The sequence below is a fragment of the Homo sapiens genome, chromosome 2 (genome assembly GCF_000001405.40).
Source record: "Homo sapiens chromosome 2, GRCh38.p14 Primary Assembly".
NCBI lineage: Eukaryota > Metazoa > Chordata > Mammalia > Primates > Hominidae > Homo > Homo sapiens.
In genome coordinates this window covers 12,503,384-12,524,185 of record NC_000002.12, presented here as the reverse complement: position 1 = coordinate 12,524,185, position 20,802 = coordinate 12,503,384, and the positions used below count along the sequence as shown (strand labels likewise).

Below are 20,802 nucleotides of genomic sequence, written 5' to 3'. Positions count from 1 at the left end.
TGATGAACATTGATGCAAAAATCCTCAATAAAATACTGGCAGAACGAATCCAGCAGCACATCAAAAAGCTTATCCACCACGATCAAGTGGGCTTCATCCCTGGGATGTAAGGCTGGTTCAATATACACAAATCAATAAATGTAATCCAGCATACAAACAGAGCCAAAGACAAAAACCACATGATTATCTCAATACATGCAGAAAAAGCCTTTGACAAAATTCAACAAGCCTTCATGCTAAAAACTCTCAATAAATTAGGTATTGATGGCACGTATTTCAAAGTAATAAGAGCTATCTATGACAAACCCACAGCCAATATCATACTGAATGGGCAAAAACTGGAAGCATTCCCTTTGAAAACTGGCACAAGACAGGGATGCCCTCTCTCACCACTCCTATTCAACATAGTGTTGGAAGTTCTGGCCAGGGCAATTAGGCAGGAGAAGGAAATAAAGGGTATTCAATTAGGAAAAGAGGAAGTCAAATTGTCCCTGTTTGCAGACGACATGACTGTATATCTAGAAAACCCCATTGTCTCAGCCCAAAATCTCCTTAAGCTGATAAGCAACTTCAGCAAAGTCTCAGGATACAAAATCAATGTACAAAAATCACAAGCATTCTTATACACCAGTAACAGACAAAGAGAGAGCCAAATCATGAGTGAACTCCCATTCACAATTGCTTCAAAGAGAATAAAATACCTAGGAATCCAACTTACAAGGGATGTGAAGGACCTCTTCAAGGAGTACTACAAACCACTGCTCAAGGAAATAAAAGAGGATACAAACAAATGGAAGAACATTCCATGCTCATGGGTAGGAAGAATCAATATCGTGAAAATGGCCATACTGCCCAAGGTAATTTACAGATTCAATGCCATCCCCATCAAGCTACCAATGCCTTTCTTCACAGAATTGGAAAAAACTACTTTAAAGTTCATATGGAACCAAAAAAGAGCCCGCATCGCCAAGTCAATCCTAAGCCAAAAGAACAAAGCTGGAGGCATCACACTACCTGACTTCAAACTATACTACAAGGCTACAGTAACCAAAACAGCATGGTACTGGTACCAAAACAGAGATATAGATCAATGGAACAGAACAGAGCCCTCAGAAATAACGCCGCATATCTACAACTATCTGATCTTTGACAAACCTGAGAAAAACAAGCAATGGGGAAAGGATTCCCTATTTAATAAATGGTGCTGGGAAAACTGGCTAGCCATATGTAGAAAGCTGAAACTGGATCCCTTCCTTACACCTTATACAAAAATCAATTCAAGATGGATTAAAGACTTAAACGTTAGACCTAAAACCATAAAAACCCTAGAAGAAAACCTAGGCATTACCATTCAGGACATAGGCATGGGCAAGGACTTCATGTCTAAAACACCAAAAGCAATGGCAACAAAAGCCAAAATTGACAAATGGGATCTAATTAAACTAAAGAGCTTCTGCACAGCAAAAGAAACTACCATCAGAGTGAACAGGCAACCTACAAAATGGGAGAAAATTTTCGCAACCTACTCATCTGACAAAGGGCTGATATCCAGAATCTACAATGAACTCAAACAAATTTACAAGAAAAAAACAAACAACCCCATCAAAAAGTGGGCGAAGGACATGAACAGACACTTCTCAAAAGAAGACATTTATGCAGCCAAAAAACACATGAAAAAATGCTCATCATCACTGGCCATCAGAGAAATGCAAATCAAAACCACAATGAGATACCATCTCACACCAGTTAGAATGACAACCATTAAAAAGTCAGGAAACAACAGGTGCTGCAGAGGATGTGGAGAAATAGGAACACTTTTACACTGTTGGTGGGACTGTAAACTAGTTCAACCCTTGTGGAAGTCAGTGTGGCGATTCCTCAGGGATCTAGAACTGGAAATACCATTTGACCCAGCCATCCCATTACTGGGTATATACCCAAAGGACTATAAATCATGCTGCTATAAAGACACATGCACACGTATGTTTATTGTGGCATTATTCACAATAGCAAAGACTTGGAACCAACCCAAATGTCCAACAATGATAGACTGGATTAAGCAAATGTGGCACATATACACCATGGAATACTATGCAGCCATAAAAAATGATGAGTTCATGTCCTTTGTAGGGACATGGATGAAATTGGAAAACATCATTCTCAGTAAACTATCGCAAGAACAAAAAACCAAACACCGCATATTCTCACTCATAAGTGGGAATTGAACAATGAGATCACATGGACACAGGAAGGGGAATATCACACTCTGGGGACTGTTGTGGGGTGGGGGGAGGGGGGGATAGCATTGGGAGATATACCTAATGCTAGATGACGAGTTAGTGGGTGCAGTGCACTAGCATGGCACATGTATACATATGTAACTAACCTGCACAATGTGCACATGTACCCTAAAACTTAAAGTATAATAAAATAAATAAATAAATAAATAAATAATAAATGAGAGAAATCCAAAAAATAAAAAATAAAAAAATAAAGGTCATCCATTTTCCCTCCAAAAAAAAAAAGGTGAGTTCATGTCCTTTGTAGGGACATGGATGAAGCTGGAAACCATCATTCTCAGCAAACTAACACAAGAAAAGAAAACCAAACACCACATGTTCTCACTCGAAAATCTGAGTTTTAAAGGCGATATCTGTAGTGTACCTTTGGTTCCCAATTTTTTTTTTTTTTTTTGAGATGGAGTCTTGCTCTGTCGCCTAGGCTGGAGTGCAGTGCTGCAATCTGGACTCACTGCAAGCTCCACCTCCTGGGTTCATGCCATTCTCCTGCCTCAGCCTCCCGAGTAGCTGGGACTACAGGCGCTCGCCACCACACCCGGCTAATTTTTTTGTATTTTTAGTAGATACGGGGTTTCACTATGTTAGTCAGGATGGTCTCGATCTCCTGACCTCGTGATCCACCCGCATTGGCCTCCCAAAGTGCTGGGATTACAGGTGTGAGCCACTGTGCCTGGCCTGGTTCCAAATTTTAATCAAGTTAGAAGAAGTTGTTCCTATTCTCGGTTTCAGATTTTAAAAATCATGAATAAACTTTATATTATATTGAATATTTTAGTCAACTAAATATGTTTTAGAACTAATTTATTAATATGATTGATCACATTAATACAATTCTTATATTAAAATATCCTTGCTTTCTTAGGCTAAACCTAACTTAATTAGGTATTTTTGTTGTTATTTAACCGCACTTTGTTTTATATTATTTATAAACTTTTACTTTTCTTTTAGAGTGAGATTTGCCTTTAGTTTTCCTTTATCATGCAATTCTCTTCTGTCAAGATTATAATGTGTCATAAAATGTGTTGGGTATAATTCTTTATTTTTCAGTTCAGTGGATCAATTTGAAAAATAATGGAAATGATCTTTTGTGGAACTTATTTTTACATCAGTCTGGACACTGTGAAAATAGGTTCCAACAATTACATTTTGTTTTTCATTTGTATTTTGCTAAGTCAAAATTTGAATAAAACTATTTGAAATAATCTGTGATTACTACATATTCTGAGGACGTGGATATTTAAAAACATCTTTATTTTGGTTTTCTTTAGTCAATTTATATTAAACAGGTTACTAAAATTTTCCTTTCCTTTTTATCAGTAAGTTTTGTTTAGGCAATTATTTTCTGAAAAACTGTTGGCAAAATTATTTGCAAAAACTATTCTTAGTATTTTACCATTTATTTTATTCACTATCATTTATTTTATTTCTGCAGCTATGTGCCTCTTTCTCTCTCTCTCTCTCTCTCTCTCTCTCTCTCTCTCTCTCTCTCTCTCTTCCTCCCTCCCTCTCCCACTGACATGTTTGTTTGAGGCTGATCCATTCCCCTGGACACACCGCCTTATCTGTATCTCATAGGTTTTGACAGGTGGTATTTTGTGTATTGATAGATAAATAGTTTTAAATTCTCAACGTGGTTTTTTATTTGATCTTCATATTTAAATATGTATTCTCTTTAGCGTTTGTTTTTTGGTGGGGTGAAGAGGTTTGAATTAAGTTCATGCCCCCATGATCACTGGTCTGCACAAGGGGTACATTGCCATCCTTCCTCCACTAGCAACAATTATTCTAATAGTTTGATTGGTCTCCTTTTATTGATATGTGCCTTCCACAATGCATATTGCTATTTCATGTTTGTACCTAAATGTATAGAAATGTTTATATTCTTAATCTCTTCATATGCTTATCAGGCTTTAGTATTTTCTCTTCCACAAATTGCCTATAACTGTTATACTACCCTCTTTGTCCCAGCATTCTTTCTTATATCAAGTATTTTTCTTTCTCGGATTTAATTTTAATTTTGCTAGAGTCCGGATTTGAATAATACTACGAGAAATAGCCTGTAATTGCTATGTGTTCTGTGGCCTTGAATATTTAAATCACCTTTGTTTTGCTTTTACATGTATATGCTAGACGGATTTATTGGAAATAAAATTATAAGTTTTTCATTACATTTCTCAGAATTTTGAAAATAAATCCTCATTATCTTCCAGCAGCTTCAGTGATGATCTTCCTATGAGAACCTTCATCATTGATTCATAACTGAAATATTCTAATTCCTAGACTTGTTCTGAAATCACACCGTGCTGGGACCAGTTGAATGTTTGTTGATGTTCTTTTATCCTGTTTGGCAGTTCCTTGTTTCTTTAATTTTGAAGACTCCAGAAAAATCTTTTTCCTCTTACTTTGATTGTTTCTCCTACTATATTTTATACACCTGGAATGCCTGCTAGGAAGTTGTTGTAGCATCTGGATCTGGCCATGATGTTTCTAAAGTTTTCTATACTTTCATAGCTCTTAGTCCATTCGTACTGCACTCTAGAGAAATCCCATGGTTCAAACTCCCACTTTGTTAATTCTCTCTTAAGGAGTCTCCTACCTACTACTAAGCCCTGGTGGGTTTTGTGCAGGGATCACACTTTTCATGCATAAGATCTCAAATGACTCCTTTTCTTAAGAGATTAGTTTATTTTTTCTTTTGTCTATCTGAAATTATGGATTGCATAGTTCTTTTTCTTCATTTCCTATATTATTTCTAATTTTAGTGTGATTTTTTTGAGTTTGCTTCTCTGTTTCATTTAGTTTATCTTCCTAAAATGTTTGTTTATTCTGACTTCTCTGTTCGTCTTATTTGTGAATTCCTGTCCAACTGTGAAAATTTGTATTTCAAGAATTTCTGTTTAGATTATGGCAATCTTTCTTGATTTCCAGTATTGCTATGATTTTATTTATTTTTAGATGTTTCTTTTTCTTCTGTCATTCTTATGGATTTGGGTCAAAAGGGAAAGTGGTATGTGCACTTGGTCCAACATGCTGATCTAATCTCCTCTCCACTGTTTTCTAATTGAGTATGTTTTTGTGTTTATTATGCTATAAGTTTGTGGCAGTGTTTTCCTTCTTTGTTCTAGGGCACAGTTTGTGTTTAGAGGTAAGGGGTTGAGTCTGTCTGGTCTATCCTGTGAGAATTACTAAATTGAAAATCATATCATGAAGGTTGGAGCAGTTCCAGAATGAGATTTGGGTGATTGGCCAGCTGGAGACATGTAATCAGACTGGATGGATAAGCCTCTTTAAAAAGTACAATTCATGACAACTTCACTAGTCCTCCTCTGGACTAACGAATGCCTTTGCATCTCATAGCATTTTACCAGCGTAATAGAGATCTCTAGAATATTTATAGAGAAGGCCAGCCATCTTAACAGTTTAAAATTCTAATGTAATTCTGAAACTTCTTACAGACAAAAATCATGAAAAGTTTGTGAATATGAAAGTTATATCAAATTATAGAAGAATTATTTTGAAAGAAGTTCACATAATCAATATATATGCCACGCAGCTATAAACAAGAACACTCATGGTTAGAGATATAACATCCTATTGGAAAGTTATCAAGTTGTGTCCTAAGGATTTATTTTGAGGCACCCATTTTCGATGAAATGCTTGATACATAATTGCTGTCAGTAGGACAAAAAGAATAGTGTTCAGATTTACTCTCTAAGAAAATTAATACCTTACGCACTGTCTTTCATTGCAGAAAAAGCATATCTTTATAGGTAAAAATATTTTTTTAAAAATAAATTACTTCTGCAAATTTGTCAAAATCAAATAAATAATCACTTTCAATGTCTACATCAAGTGCAATTGGATATGATAGTAATGAAATCTGGAAACCAATGAATTGAATATTGAATCAATGAAGTGTAAACTTTTTGTGTTTCTTTAAACTTATTATTTCCTGTTTACTTAAAAGCAGCCTAAAATGTTTCTGGTTAAAAAAATCAATGTATATTTTAATATGCAATGAAATTTGATTGAATACCAGCAAGTCAGCTAGACCTTGTATTTTTCTTGGCATTATCTGGCACCTATGACTGACACTTGCCAGTGGTCCCTAAGGATCTCCTTGCTCTTTGGACTTCCCTCTTTCAGGTTTTCTTCTGGTTTTGCTATGGCCCCAGAAATAGTACCCAGAGACACTGGAATTATCTGTCAATTTCCTATGACCCTTATTTCACATTGCACCATGACTTTTGGATAGCTATGTTCAAGCTTTCCTCCTTGTAAGTAAGTTCTTTAAAAACAAAATAGATTTCTTAAATTCCACCAGAAGAAACTTAATGACTAGTATTTGAATAAATATCTAGCAATCTGGGTTTTGTTTGTTTGATTGTTTATTCTGGGATAAACTTTTGCACACATTACATCTTGACACCAATAACATTTAGAAGCATCTTACAGTTGCCATATAGCTACATTTCTCCTGCTGGCAAGAAGTTGCTTAATATTCTAGTAGCATAATAGGAAAATGACAGGTCTTTGATGTTTCAGTCAACAACCAGTTAAGGACTACTTGAGGAATAAACATGAATTCTGGTTGCTGTCTCAATACTTTTTTTGACACCTTTTTGTAAGATCAAGAATCTGCCAGCATTAAATGTTGCAGACTTGATATAATTGACTTGGAAACAAATTTCTTGAAGCAATTGTGGAAAGTTCTTGATGGCACAGAAGATAATAATTTGTGGGGAAAGAAATGGACATCAACGACTAAGTTGAAAATTATTTCAGACAAGTGGCTTTGAGTATGAAATACTTTGAGGATCACTTAACCAATGAACCTCAGTTATATTTTCTTTTTAATATTTGGTTAAGTGGTATGAGATTAAAAACAATGTCTCATATGTCTAAAAGAACTCTTTCAATAAATATAGAATAAAAATTCTGTTACAAAAAGCATTGTCTTATAGCTCAATTGCCAGCAGATAATAAATTGCATTTTCTTTTTTAGATGTACATTAAAAATGGTGCATTAGAGGCTTCAGAATGTAGTATTAATCTGAGAGCAGAAAATTTAATGATTTAAAAAGTTTCAAAAGTATTTTTTAAACAAAATTTTTTTAGCCCCTGTTATATACCTGTAAGTCACCATGCTAGTCCTGATGAAAGTGTGGGCAAATTGTCCAACAAGTAAGAAGAACCTTATGATGTAATGGAGGAAGAAGTGAGACTGTACATAAATACTCTTAATAGCATGAAAATGGCGAGTGCTTTTCAAACATCCATCTAACTATGTACTATGAAGACTCCAAAGACAGGAAAGATGATTTCCAACCTGAGATGAGGAAAAAAGCCATCTTGAATGTTATTAGAGCTTGGTATACCATATGGGCAGGATGTTGACATCAATGATGGTGGAAGCGGTATCATGGGGAAGAAGATATCACCCTTGCAGGTATGTTGTTGAGTAATAAGTAGTTTGACCAGCCTACAACTTATGGTCCACAAGGGTAGGCAGTGGGACACACGGTAGAAGCAGAGCAAGCTCTCTCATAGGGTGTCTCCAATGCCAGGTTACCAGGTCATGGCACTTGGACTTCATTGCACAATCAATCAATTATAAACCACTGAATATATTTTACATAATAAATAAATCTGACCATGATTTGATTATGTTCTAGGAATATACTTCTGGTATCACAAGTAGGGTGGATATGTGTTGTGGCTAGGGTAGAGGGACGCAGCAAGGTACACAATGGAAGAGTCAGGAAGGAGTAGGAGAGACCTTTGCCCATTTTACAGTGATTTGTAGATAGTGTTGCAACAATACCCACAAGTGCTAATCAGAGGTAAAATCATATCCTATCTGATTGAAGTAAACATCATGACAATGAGTGCCACAGTCATTGTTATAATTTATATTTTTTATTCAAGATAATTATCTCTTTTGAGATTATGGACTAATTTCTGTAATTATACTGTGGGCCCAGACCACTACAATTGCTGATGAAATCAGGAAATTTTGATTGATAGTTGGGGAGTGAGGAGTTTATTCACAGTTTATTCTCCACTGTGGCAGCCACCAGCCAAGACAAGAAACTGAATACCGTCTCCACAGTCCTAGCTCTCAGAGTCGTGACTCTTTAGCATGGGAGAGAGAGAACTAGCAGGGTGAAAGACACACACACACGCACACACACACACACACACACACACACAGAATTATGGATATAAAAAACATGAGAATCAAGAAGAGTTTTTTTTTTTCTCTGTCGTTTAATGTAGAGCAAAAGCTAGAAAGAGGTAGAAAGAACACAGATTTTGTCACTTGCTACGGTTGGGTTCCATTCTGACCATGTCACCCTAGGCAAGTGATTTAACCAGGATCTCTGAGCCTTGTTTTGTTTATAACTGTATAGCAGGTCTGTCGTGCTCACTTAAAATTATTTTTCTGGAGAGAGGAAAAGTTTCCTCACAGCAAAGACTTGACTTGAGGTTGGTCTAGGTGCCCTATCACGTGCCAGGCACTCTACTCTATCCCTCACAGACTTTCCAGCAAACACCTTCAAGCCAACACGTCTAGGAGAGTGGGTCGGCCAAGAGTCACTGAACATTGGGTGTTTTGGTGAAGCAAAAAGAAGAGGCTCCTGGCATGGACAGATTCAGCCTGGACACGCATAGGGTATGTTTGACCCTAGGCCAGTCACTGGCTTTCTCTGAACCTGAGACAGTTCATACGTAAAATAATTACAATAGAATTGTTATTGGGATTCAATCAGACTGTCATGTCTGCACATAGTAGGTTCTCAGCCCTGTTCGCTGTCTGCCCAGATACCCCTGTTGTGCTGAGAGTTTTCGCTGTCAGCCTGCGGCATAAGCCAGCTCTCACACTTTCCCTCAGCTAGTCTGCTGTGTGCTGATGTTATCTCATTCAGCAGAGATAGCTGCTGGGAGCTGACCTTCATTTTTAACTGTCAGTTTCCTTTGAACTGTTATCCCTCAGAACATTGCAGTTTATTTAAAACCAAACAAACAGAATAGACACCGCCCATCCAACTACACTCAGTGTGAGACTCTGTTGTATCTCTTATATTGGAAGTTCTTTGCTGACAGTTTATCTATGGAATTGAACCTGTAGGAGCATGAAGAAGGAAGATGAAGAAACACACACACACACTGCATTCCTCACTTGTTACAAGAGTACATCTTCCAGAGAACAAATGGAAACTTCTGTCTCAGGATCACTTAAGCCTTTTAAGTGTTCCTGATAAATATTCTATTGCATGGTACTTGAACACTTTCTAGCAAAATGATGGATTTAACTTAATCTCAAGCCAGGTTTTGGTACCACATCTTCATGCTGAAAAGTCCTGGAAAATTCAGCTTGGATGACAGGTTCCTTCCATCATATGCCCTTGAGAAGAAACAGCACCTTCAGCCTGTTCACCTGCATGAATCTGGCTGAAATGAGAGTTCCTGTCTTATTCTTAGTTTTATTCTTTTAAGAAGCTGCATCTTCCCGCCCTTATCTCTCTCCAGTGATTCATTTCAGTTTCCCCAGCTGACGCTGAGGATTAATAGTTCATCATCCATTTGAACCCAGGCTCTTCTTATTAGACTCAATCTGTACAAAGTCAGATTCATTTGACAGAGATTTGTTTTTTTATGGATTCGAAACACACACATGCACTCCAGAATTTGTTATTGTGATGCCATATTCCAATGGTTTTAAAAAAATGCTTCCATTCACTAAATTCAGCAAAATATAATGAGAGTTTAATGGGTATCAAGCTCTGTGCTAACCGAATATGTGCAGTGGTGTATTATTTAGGGCTCTCCCAAGAAATAGAATATATATATTTATATAGAACGATATATGTATGATAATATATATGATTATATATGACTAGATGTAATTATTTGTAAATATGCAGAGAATATATATAGATATATATGGGATTATATGTAATTCTATATAAATTACCTATATATAGATGGAATATATATATTTATATATAAACATATAGGATATATATAATTATATTTATAAATATACAGGAGATATGGAGACAGTCAGGGGAGAGAGAGAGATTTACTGTGACAAATTCCCTCATGAGGTTACACAGGCTGAGAAATCCCACTGTCTACAAACTGGAAGCTGGTGGTGTAATTCCAGGCCAAGTCTGAAGGCTGAGACCAGGGAAGCCAAGGGCACAAATTCCAGTTCAAGAACAAGAAGAGACCTACATCCCAGCTCATGCAGGTAGGCAGGAAGCAAAGAGGGCAAAGTCTTCCTTCCTCTGCCTTTTTGTTCTGTTCAGGCTCACAGCAGATTTGATGAGCCCCACCCACACTGAGGAGAGCAATCTGGAAGTGAAAATCAAGTCTTCTAGCCTCACCATGGTTTAAGGAGAGCCTCAAACCGAGTCATCTGATGAATTGGTGAATGCCATGTTGTCTTGGACTGCATGGAAATTCTCCTGGCTGCACCAGGGAAAGTTCCAATTGTTAGACCCAGTGACCAAAGACAGATGAGCATGACATCTCTATAGGGGTTTGTTTAACTGTCTTCAGGAAATCATCTGCCCAAATGTAATTGTCCCCGGGATTTGGTCCATGAGTGCATAAGTCAACTTTGGTGTCTGTCCTCAAAACTATGGATTCAGAATGACTATAGCTCTAGTATAGAAATACTAATATTGGAACTGAACATATGGATTGATAAGAGGCCTATGCAAAACTTGAAGTGCCTACTAGGGAAGGGGTGAGCATTTCAATATTCAGGACTTGAGGGAACTGAATCCCAGTTCTAATGCTGCTGCCTATCCACTATTTTACCTTCTTGGTGAAGAATTGGCCCTCTTTAGCCTTATTTTCTTCTCTATAAACTGGAATATTTGGCCAAATAGCATCAGAATACTTTTACCAATATGAATGCCTATGTTTTTATTTTATAATTAAAAAAAACACAAGAATAATAATTACTGTGATATATTTGACTCTGAAGATTTATTTGTGTATTTACTTACATTGGAGGCTTTTGTGAATTTGTAGACAGAAAACAATTAGTCAGAACATCCTCCAGAGAGCCAGTGCAGTGATGGCCAAAGAATACAGCCTATTAACCATAAAATCCCTAGAAGAAAACCTAGGCAATACCATTCAAGACATAGGCATAGGCAAAGACTTAATGACTAAAACACCAAAAGCAATGGCAACAAAAGCCAACACTGACAAATGGGATCTAATTACCCAGAATCTACAAGGAACTTAAACAAATTTACAAGAAAAAAAAAAAAACATTAAAAAGTGGGCAAAGGATATGAACAGACACTTCTCAAAAGAAGACGGTTATGTGGCCAAACTTATGAAAAAAAGCTCATAATCACTGGTCATTAGAGAAAAGCAAATCAAAACCACAGTGAGACACCATCTCACACCAGTTAGAATAGTGATCATTAAAAAGTCAGGAAACAACAGATGCTGGAGGTGATGTGGAGAAATAGGAATGCTTTTACACTGTTGGTGGCAGTGTAAATTAGTTCAACCATTGTGGAAGACAGTGTGGCAATTCCTCAAGGATCTAGAACTAGAAATGCCATTTGACCCAGCAATCTCATTACTGGGTATATACCCAAAGGATTATAAATCATTCTACTATAAAGAAACACATATACCTATGTTTATTGCAGCACTTTTCACAATAGTAAAGACTTCGAACCAACCCAAATGCCCATCAATGTTACACTGGATAAAGAAAATGTGGCACATATATAACATGGAATACTACGCAGCCATAAAAAAGAATGAGCTCATGTCCTTTGCAGGACATGGATGAAGCTGGAAACCATCATTCTCAGCAAACTAACACAGGAACAGAAAACCAAACACCACATGTTCTCACTCATAAGTGGGAGTTGAACAATGAGAACATATGGGCACAGGAAGGGGAACATCACACACCGGTGCCTGTCAGAGGGTGGGGGACAAGGGGAGGGATAGCATTATAAGAAATACCTAACGTAGATGACGGGTTGATGGATGCAGCAAACCACCATGCCACATGTATACTATGTAACAAGCCTGCACTTTCTGCATATGTATCCCAGAACTTAGAGTATAATATAAAAAATGCAGCCTATTTAGAAATTAATAATTAGAGGTTGTGACTTCTGATCTTAAGGACAAACATTAGGGGGAAGGAAATTCTCAAGAATAAAGTGGCTTATAATGATATCTTGTTAATATAAGATGTAACCACATATTCTGAACCAAAACTTGGAACACAGTACTTAATAATGAAACAATTATTTGCTATTTAGGCTGTTCTCAAAAATCCAGGATATGTCCTTTACATTTTCAGAGTTGATAACATTATAATAAGAACCTACACTAGGCCATGCAATTTTCTAAATGCTGTAATAGTTTTCTTTAATCCATGCAACAAACACTATTTTCAGTATACAGCCAAAGAAATGGAAATTCCTGGAGGTGTTGTGACTTGCCTGAGGTCACACAGTTACTTGTATCAGAACTGCTGTTTGAAGCAAGATTTCCTTGAAACCAAAACTTCTCCTTATTCTGATTTAGGAACTTCCAGTATCTGAAAAGAATAATTTCATAAACAAAAAATAAGTAAAAGGATGGAAAAGAAACCTTGCCTAATTGGACAGTGATCTCGAAAGAAACGGAGAATGAATTCAGAATACTCTGGTGTCAGAGGGCTGCAGTGGAACCCAGAAAGGTCTGTGGAGACACCCCAAAGAGCGATGTGGACAGGCTCTGGCCACTTTGGTCCTGATGCAGCAGTTGTCTTAGTCTATTTTGTGCTGTTATAACACAATACCTGAGACTGGGTGATTTATAGAGAGCAGAGATTATTTCTTACAATCTGGATGCTGGGAAGTTCAAGGTCAAGGGCCCCACATCAAGCAACAGACTTTTTGCCACATCATACCACAGCAGAAGGCAAAAAAGCAAGAGAGCATGCATGAGAGAGAGATTGGAAAGGGGGTTGAACTCATCCTTTTATAAGAAATTCACTCCTGTAACAACTAACCTACTCCCTCGTAAATAGCATTAATTCATTCATGAGAGCAGAGCCCTCCTGACCAAATCACCACTTAAAGGTCTCACCTCTCAATGCTGTTGCACTGAGGATTACGTTTCCAGCACATAAACTTTGGGGGACACTTCCAATCTATAGCAGCAATGTGGATATGGCCCAAGGAATAAAAGATCCTGGTGCAATTGACCAATAGCAATGGTCTATCTAGGCAGTTCAAACGAAAGAAATCTCTTTCCTCATAGCTACTTTGGGAAACTACAGTAATCTAAAAACAGACCTGTTACACTCTGTGTAGCCTTGCCATCTTCATCTTCAAAGAGGGGATAATACAATATAATGATAGATACTACATGAGGACAAATAAGCAATACCAGTTTGCTTAATGTAAATTATTGTATGCATGCTAGTTGCTGTTGCTTAGATTTAAATATTACTTCAGTATCCAAGAAAGACTAATGGTCATTTTATAATGAAAAAATGCAATTGATTAAATTAAGAATCCAACTGATGAATTTCACAGCAGATTAGACACAAAAGAATATAGAATGAGTGAACTGAAGGACAAATCAACAGAAAAATTATCCAAACTAAAAGATAGAGAGAAAAAATAATGAAAACAACCAACCAGAGGAACAAACAAACAAAAATGGATTAAGAACATCAGACACCACACACCTACAACCATCTGACCTTTGACAAACCTGACAAAAACAAGCAACAGGGAAAGGATTCCCTATATAACAAATGGTGCTGGGAGAACTAGCTAGCCATATGCAGAAAATTGAAGTGGGACCCCTTCTTTACACCGTGTACAAATATTAACTTTGGATGGATTAAAGACTTGAATGTAAAACCCAAAACTATAAAAACCCTAGAAGAAAATCTAGACAATACCTTTCAGGACATAGGCATGGGCAAAGATTTTATGATGAAATTGCCAAAAACAATTGCAAAAAAAAAATCAAAAATTGACAAATCAGATCTAATTAAACTAAAGAGCTTCTGCGCAGCAAGAGAAACCATCATCAAAGTGAACAGACAACCTATAGAATGGGAGGGAATTTTTGCAATCTATCCATATGACAAAGGTGTAATATCCAGAATCCACAAGGAGCTTAAGCAAATTTACAGAAAAAAAAAATTGAAAAGTGGGCAAAGGACATGAACAGACACTTCTCAAAAGAAGACATACATGTGGCCAACAAACATATGAAAATAAACTCAACATCACTGATCATTAGAGGACTGCAGATCAAAACCACAATGAGATACCATCTCATACCAGTCAGAATGGCGGTTATTAAAAAGTCAAGAAACAAGAGTTGAGAGGTTGAGGAGAAATAGGAATGCTTTTACACTGTTGGTGGAAACGTAAATTAGTTCAACCATTATGGAAGACAGTGTGGCGATTCCTCAAAGATTTAGAATCAGAAATACCATTTGACCCAGTAGTCCCATTACTGGATATATACCCAAAGGAATAGAAATTATTCTATTATAAAGATGCGTGCACACGTATGTTCATTGCAGAACTATTCACAATAGCAAAGACATGGAATCAACCCAAATGCACATCAATGATAGACTGGATAAAGAAAATGTGGTACATATACAGCATGGAATACTACGCAGCTGTAAAAGGAAAGGAGATCATGTCCTTTGCAGGGACATTGTTGGAGCTGGAAGCCATTATCCTCAGGAAACCAACACGGAAACAGAAAACCAAACGCCGCACGTTCTCAGTTATAAGTGGGAGCTGAACAATGAGAACACATAGACACAAGGGGAGGAACAAGACACACTGGAGCCTGTTGGGGAAGGGTGGGTGGGGGATGGGAGAGCGTCAGGAAAAATAGCTAATGCATGCGGGGCTTAACACCTAGGTGTTTGGTTGATAGGTGCAGCAAACCACCATGGCACAATTTACCTCTGTAAACCTGCGCACCCTACACATGTACTCCAGAACTTAAACAAAGAAAGAAGAAGGAACAGATTTTTTTTAAAAAGGGAAAGATATGCAGGACACGCTCAGACATGTTTACGTATGTGTAACTGGAGTCTTAGAAGGATGAGAGGAAACAGATTAGAGCAATATTCAAACAGATGATGGCTAAGGATTTTCCAAAATTGATAAAAGACAGTCCGAATATTCAGGAAGCTCATCACCTTTAAGCTACAAAAATACAAAGAAAATTAATCATCATCTAGAATTTAATGGTCAATTAAAATATTCCTGAAGCATATAGATAAAATAAAGATGTTTTTGGTAAACAAAAGCTGGAAAAGTGTATCACCTTACAGAAGGAAAATAGTTATTGATGGAAACATGAAAATGTATGAGGGAATGAAGAACACAGGAAAGGGTAACTATGGAGGTAGAGGAATTAATATTGGCTATAAAAAATGCAATAACTTGAATGTCCTGGGAATTCCAATGAAAAGGCCTAACAGTCACTATTATTCAAGGCAAGAGTGTGCAAAGGACATTAAAGTGCCCTAAGTCTCTAGCAGGAGTATGAAAGTAGTAAAAGTAATAATTTGTGTTAGACAGCGATATCTCAAGATGCATGGTATAATATCTAGGTATCCACTAAAAGAATAGCAAAGGAATGCATAATGAACAAGTTAGCAAGAGTAATTTCCTAAAGTTAGATGGAATAAAACTGTGGATAAATAAACACCTTTGTCAGAAGTGAGATTAGGGAAGTCACACTCTGCTAAGACAATGAGCACCCATGAAGAAAGGAGTTCACATTGTTCTGTAAACCTAAACACACTAACAGAACCAATGAGCACAGAAACTCAACTGGCCCCCACTGATGCTCCGTTAAGCAAAGTACTTCTCGTTTCAATGATCCAGAATGATCTTTTAATTCAAGGTGAAGGTGCCGTTACTCTCATGACAAGGATTTTTATTTCAGCTGTAATTAGAAGGGTCAGGCCAGATAAAATCTGTGTTCTCTGAGGACAACTTGAAAAGTGAAAAAAGGAATATAGGATTAATGAAAGATTCACAAGATTAAAATTGGGATTGAAAATTTGAGAGACTCTTCCCAGATCTGAAAACAGGTACTCTAACTACTCTAACCCTTCTCCCTTTTCCCCCAAAGTCACATTTTGGGGAATGGTTGCGCATCTTGTCTCTGGAAATCCTTCACCTGGCTCATAAATTCATTGATGATTCAGTGAAGTTGAGCACACGAAATCTTCTAAGGTCAGACTCATGGTTTCCTTTCAGGCTCATTAGCCTTTAATTGCGAAACCAATGCATCTGCTAACCACAAAGACATGGTTGGTGCACGCTGGAGACAGTAAAAGCTTAGTGCCATTGCTTCTGAGAGGCGGCTGTGGGCCCGGGGGCACAGTTTATGTGGGAGGGTGCCAGATGATGAAGCATCACTTTTGTGGCTTCTGAGCAGTGTAGCTCCTGCAGAAAGCATTGACTCTTCCCCCAAGGCCATTCTTCTGTATCTATTTGGCTGGCGGTCAAGGTCAGGCTTTCTTCAAAGTAGTGCAATGTGTAGTTACCAACAATTTTAAAGACGCCATAAAGACCCCCTGCCAAAAAGGGACACCCTTGCTGCCATACTAGAATGCCACGAATCCATGTCATTTGCCACTCCATTAACTCAGATCATTGAAAGGTTTTGTATTAGTGTAACCTGCAGACTTGTTCTCTAGTAGGGCAGTGTAATTAGGACCTCTTCAAAATAAGACCTTACTACTGAGAAATTTAATGAAGCAAGGCTCCTTTAAAGTTAAATCACACAAGCATCATCTCCTCATGTTCTCTGGTCTCCTGGACCCTGGTCAGGAAGCAGTGTTCTCCCAGCAGCTGTGAGTAACATTCTACCAGCATGTGCTGGGCTGCAGTTGTCTATTTATCTGCCTCTCTTATTAGATTGTGAACTTTCTGAAGGTAGTGATTTTACACATATCTCTGAATACTTAGGCTCAGGACCCGGCACTAAGAGAGTACTTTGAAAATGACTAACAGAAGAAGAGAGGGAGAGGGAATGAAGGAGAGAAAGGAAATTTGAATGGTTCAGTAAGTGTTCTTAGTTTCCTTAGCAAAACAGCATTTTCATTTTTTCTTTTTTAGTAAAGACGGAAGAAAGATCAGATGGATACAGTGACCAAAAAGCAAGTTTGGAAAAACCAGTGTTTGAACTATTGCTCAGTTACTTCTCCTGAAGGCTGCAAGGCAAGAATCTGAAATCCTTTATATGATTTTCAAATTTTTTGCAATCTGTGTCCAAACTCTGAAATTTTCAAATTCAATTCAAATTTATCTTCTACCATTCTTTATCATCACACTCCTAAGCAACATCCAAGCTAAAATTGTTCTTATTATCTGGTCCTTGTGATGGGTACAGAATTTTGCTTCTGCCTGTAATGCGTTCTCATTGGGAATAATTATTTATCCTTCAAAATTTATCTGAAAAATTGTTTCTACTTTGAAGCTATCCCCAGGCACAACTGCTTTTATTCTCCCTTTGTTCCCATTACTCTGTGTGCTCACATTTGTTACAACACTTGTCGGCCTCATTTTTAATCACTTGTCTTCCTGGCTTCTCAACTAGACAGTGTGTGAGCTGTGAAAAACAGGGCATTTCTGGTACAACCCTGCATTTTATTTATTTCTGAATCTCCGGTCTCCTGAGTTTCTGTGTTGCCTGACACAATGCAAGTACTCAGTGAAATGTTGAACAAAGATAACCTTGCAAAGACTAGAGGAATCTGAGGATGCTGAATAACTAGGAGGAGGTTAGTCCTCAGAGATAGACACCAGCCCCCCATGGTGTAAGAATTATTGCCAGGACTTGGAAATCACCAACGATGGTCATAATCACGGTTAGCAGAAGAGAAAAATCACAGGGCCCTGCTTCACTACCTGGAAGCGAATACTTAGGATTCATATATCTTCAGGATGCAGTCCTGAGAAAGACCCCACACAAAATCATTAGAATAATTGTGTTGAAATCACACACATTGTATACTGTGAAATCAAGATGATTATGACAGAAACTATTATATGTGCATTAAACCACCAATATTAGCTCGCCCTTCCTCCTGGGCACACAGTTAGGTGACCTGTCCCAATTCTCTTGTAGTTAGGTGGGACTCTGTGCCTGAATTTTAGCTAATGTACTTTGAGCAAAAGTAACATATTCAACTTCCAAGCCTGGACCATTGAAACTTCCCATGTGATCCTCCACCTACTGTTTCTTCCTTCCTCTGCTGGATAGGCAAAGGGTGATGGAGGACTCCAAGTAGACCACTGGATGGTAATTGAGTGGAAAACTATTAGATAGAAGGATCCTTGATCTCTGCGAGAGTGCATGGAAATGAATCCTCCCACATTCTTGCTGCCAACTCACATCAGACTGCGATGTGAGTGATAAAGACCCCATATCCCAGTAGCTTCACATATTAAAGATTGTTTTTTCTTGTAGCGATTTGCCTGTAACACTGACTAATACAATACTTAGTGAATCTCAGGTCCCTTGTCTGACAAATAGAGATTAATTCTGCATTGCCTTCTTTACAGAATTAGTGTGAAGATCAGAAGAAGGTTTTGTCGATTGTAACATTCTTAGTAAATGTTGGTAGCGTTTATTGCCTTTTCTTACAGGGAATCAGGCAGGGAAAAGAACATCATTTCAGACCAATCGCGTTCCTATGTGAGAGAACAATCTGGAAAGTGTGGATCTTGCCCATGGTGAGTTGGAGTCACCTTCTTCTATTTTAATGCATCTTTTGGGATGAATATTCTGTGATTTGGTAGTGTTATTTCTCAGATCTTTTCAGTGTGGCCTTGGGTCTGGTGAAGCTGCTCTAGAAAACTAACCTCCATCATCTGGACATGCAGTCCTCAATGCATGGTCCTGGACAACTCTTAGCCTTTCTTTGGGCCTCAACACCAATTATCACATAGTAAGAGGTGGAATCAAAGGACCTCTCTTCCTCTCCCATCTATTGGCCATTACCAGATGTAGTCAGCTCTCTGTGCCTGGACGTGCTCAAGTGGAGTACAAATTGCTTGGTAGACACCACAGAGGTGACTCCACCATCGGGGAGGAGATGAGGAGGAGGAAGATTGCCTGACCTGTTGTCATTCAAAGTCATCTTCAAGCCTGAGATTTTTGAAATGACTTTGTGGCCAGGAGGACTATGAGTCACATAGTTTTCTAATTCTATTTCAGGAAACTCGTGGGAGGCAGGGTAGTGTTATGGAAAATAATAGGGCACTGGAGCCACCCAAACCTGGGTTTGAAACTTGACTCTAAAACTCACAGCTGCGTAAGATGGAAACATTACTCTGACTTTCTGAACTTCACTTCCCTTCTCTGTAATTGGAAGAAATATCAACTACTCCCAAGTTTTGATGAGCACTTAAAGGGAGTAGCATGGGAAAGCACTAGAATGGTATCTGGCACACCAGGGTGGTAAACGTCTGCACTCTAGTAATACTGCTAGGAGATATTACAACTTCCCTGAATCTTCCTAGAATTCCAAGGTAGGGTGAATAGCATCTCTTTTCTAACTTGGTTATGAAACCTCCATTATCATTACTAGATTATAACCATATATTTAGCTTTACAGTTGAAAGCCACCAAATGTATCATTCAGAAAAATACATTTCAAATACACCAACACAGCTCGGTGTGGTGGCACACATCTATAGTCCAAGCTACGCCAGAGGCTGAGGCAGGAGGACCATTTGAGCCCAGGAATTCAAGGCTGTAGTGCATTATGATTTGGCTGTGAATAGCCACAGCACTCCAACCTGGGCAAGATAGCAAGACCTCATCTCAGAGGGAAAAATATATACCAACATAGACTCAGTTTTCTTACATGGGAGAGTTAAGTCATTACTAAGCTCATGGAATGTGTGCAGGATTCAAATGCATTTATTCTTTTAGGGATCACATAGTTATTATGTGCATACTGTACTGTACCCATGTCCCATGCTGAATGATGGGATTCGGCGAGATATGAACCATAGCTATAATAAACACAACTAGCATTTATTGAGTACTTAATATGTACTAGGCACTGTGCAAAGTATATTAAGTATATTTTCTTACTCTTCAAAACACTGTAATGAATAGACATTAATGCTTTAATTGTAAAGATGAGAAATTTACTGTATAGGTAGTTGCAGTAACTATCCCGTTTACTAATTGCCAGAACCTCCAGCAACAACATCTACTCCATTAACAATGTATTTATTTACCTGACTCCTGTCTTTCTTTCTGCACTGCATAGCTGGGTGTGCAGGGATTCCTGTCCTTGAGATGGGGAACTTCATGGCTTGGGGGAGATTAGTTTAGTTCACCCCATGATGAGGACACAGTGCAGGTGGGATGTCCAGGCAGAGCTGGCCTCCTACTACTGTTGGAAGAGAGTTTCCTGGAACTCAGAGGGCCCAAGGCA

General features: G+C 38.0%; 1 long non-coding RNA gene across 1 annotated transcript in view, besides 2 other annotated features; it reads right to left on the bottom strand.

The window, feature by feature from the left end:
- MIR3681HG (MIR3681 host gene) overlaps window positions 1-20,802 on the bottom strand; it is a 571,233-nt gene that overhangs the window by 54,163 nt on the left and 496,268 nt on the right. The window lies entirely within an intron of this gene.
- Window positions 16,524-16,573: a silencer, noted in NCBI's record as "silent region_11181". NCBI's record gives its function as "represses an Ori minimal core promoter by ATAC-STARR-seq in GM12878 lymphoblastoid cells {active_cell/tissue: GM12878}" and the evidence as "EXISTENCE:reporter gene assay evidence [ECO:0000049][PMID:35858748]".
- Window positions 19,384-19,493: an enhancer, noted in NCBI's record as "active region_15339". NCBI's record gives its function as "activates an Ori minimal core promoter by ATAC-STARR-seq in GM12878 lymphoblastoid cells {active_cell/tissue: GM12878}" and the evidence as "EXISTENCE:reporter gene assay evidence [ECO:0000049][PMID:35858748]".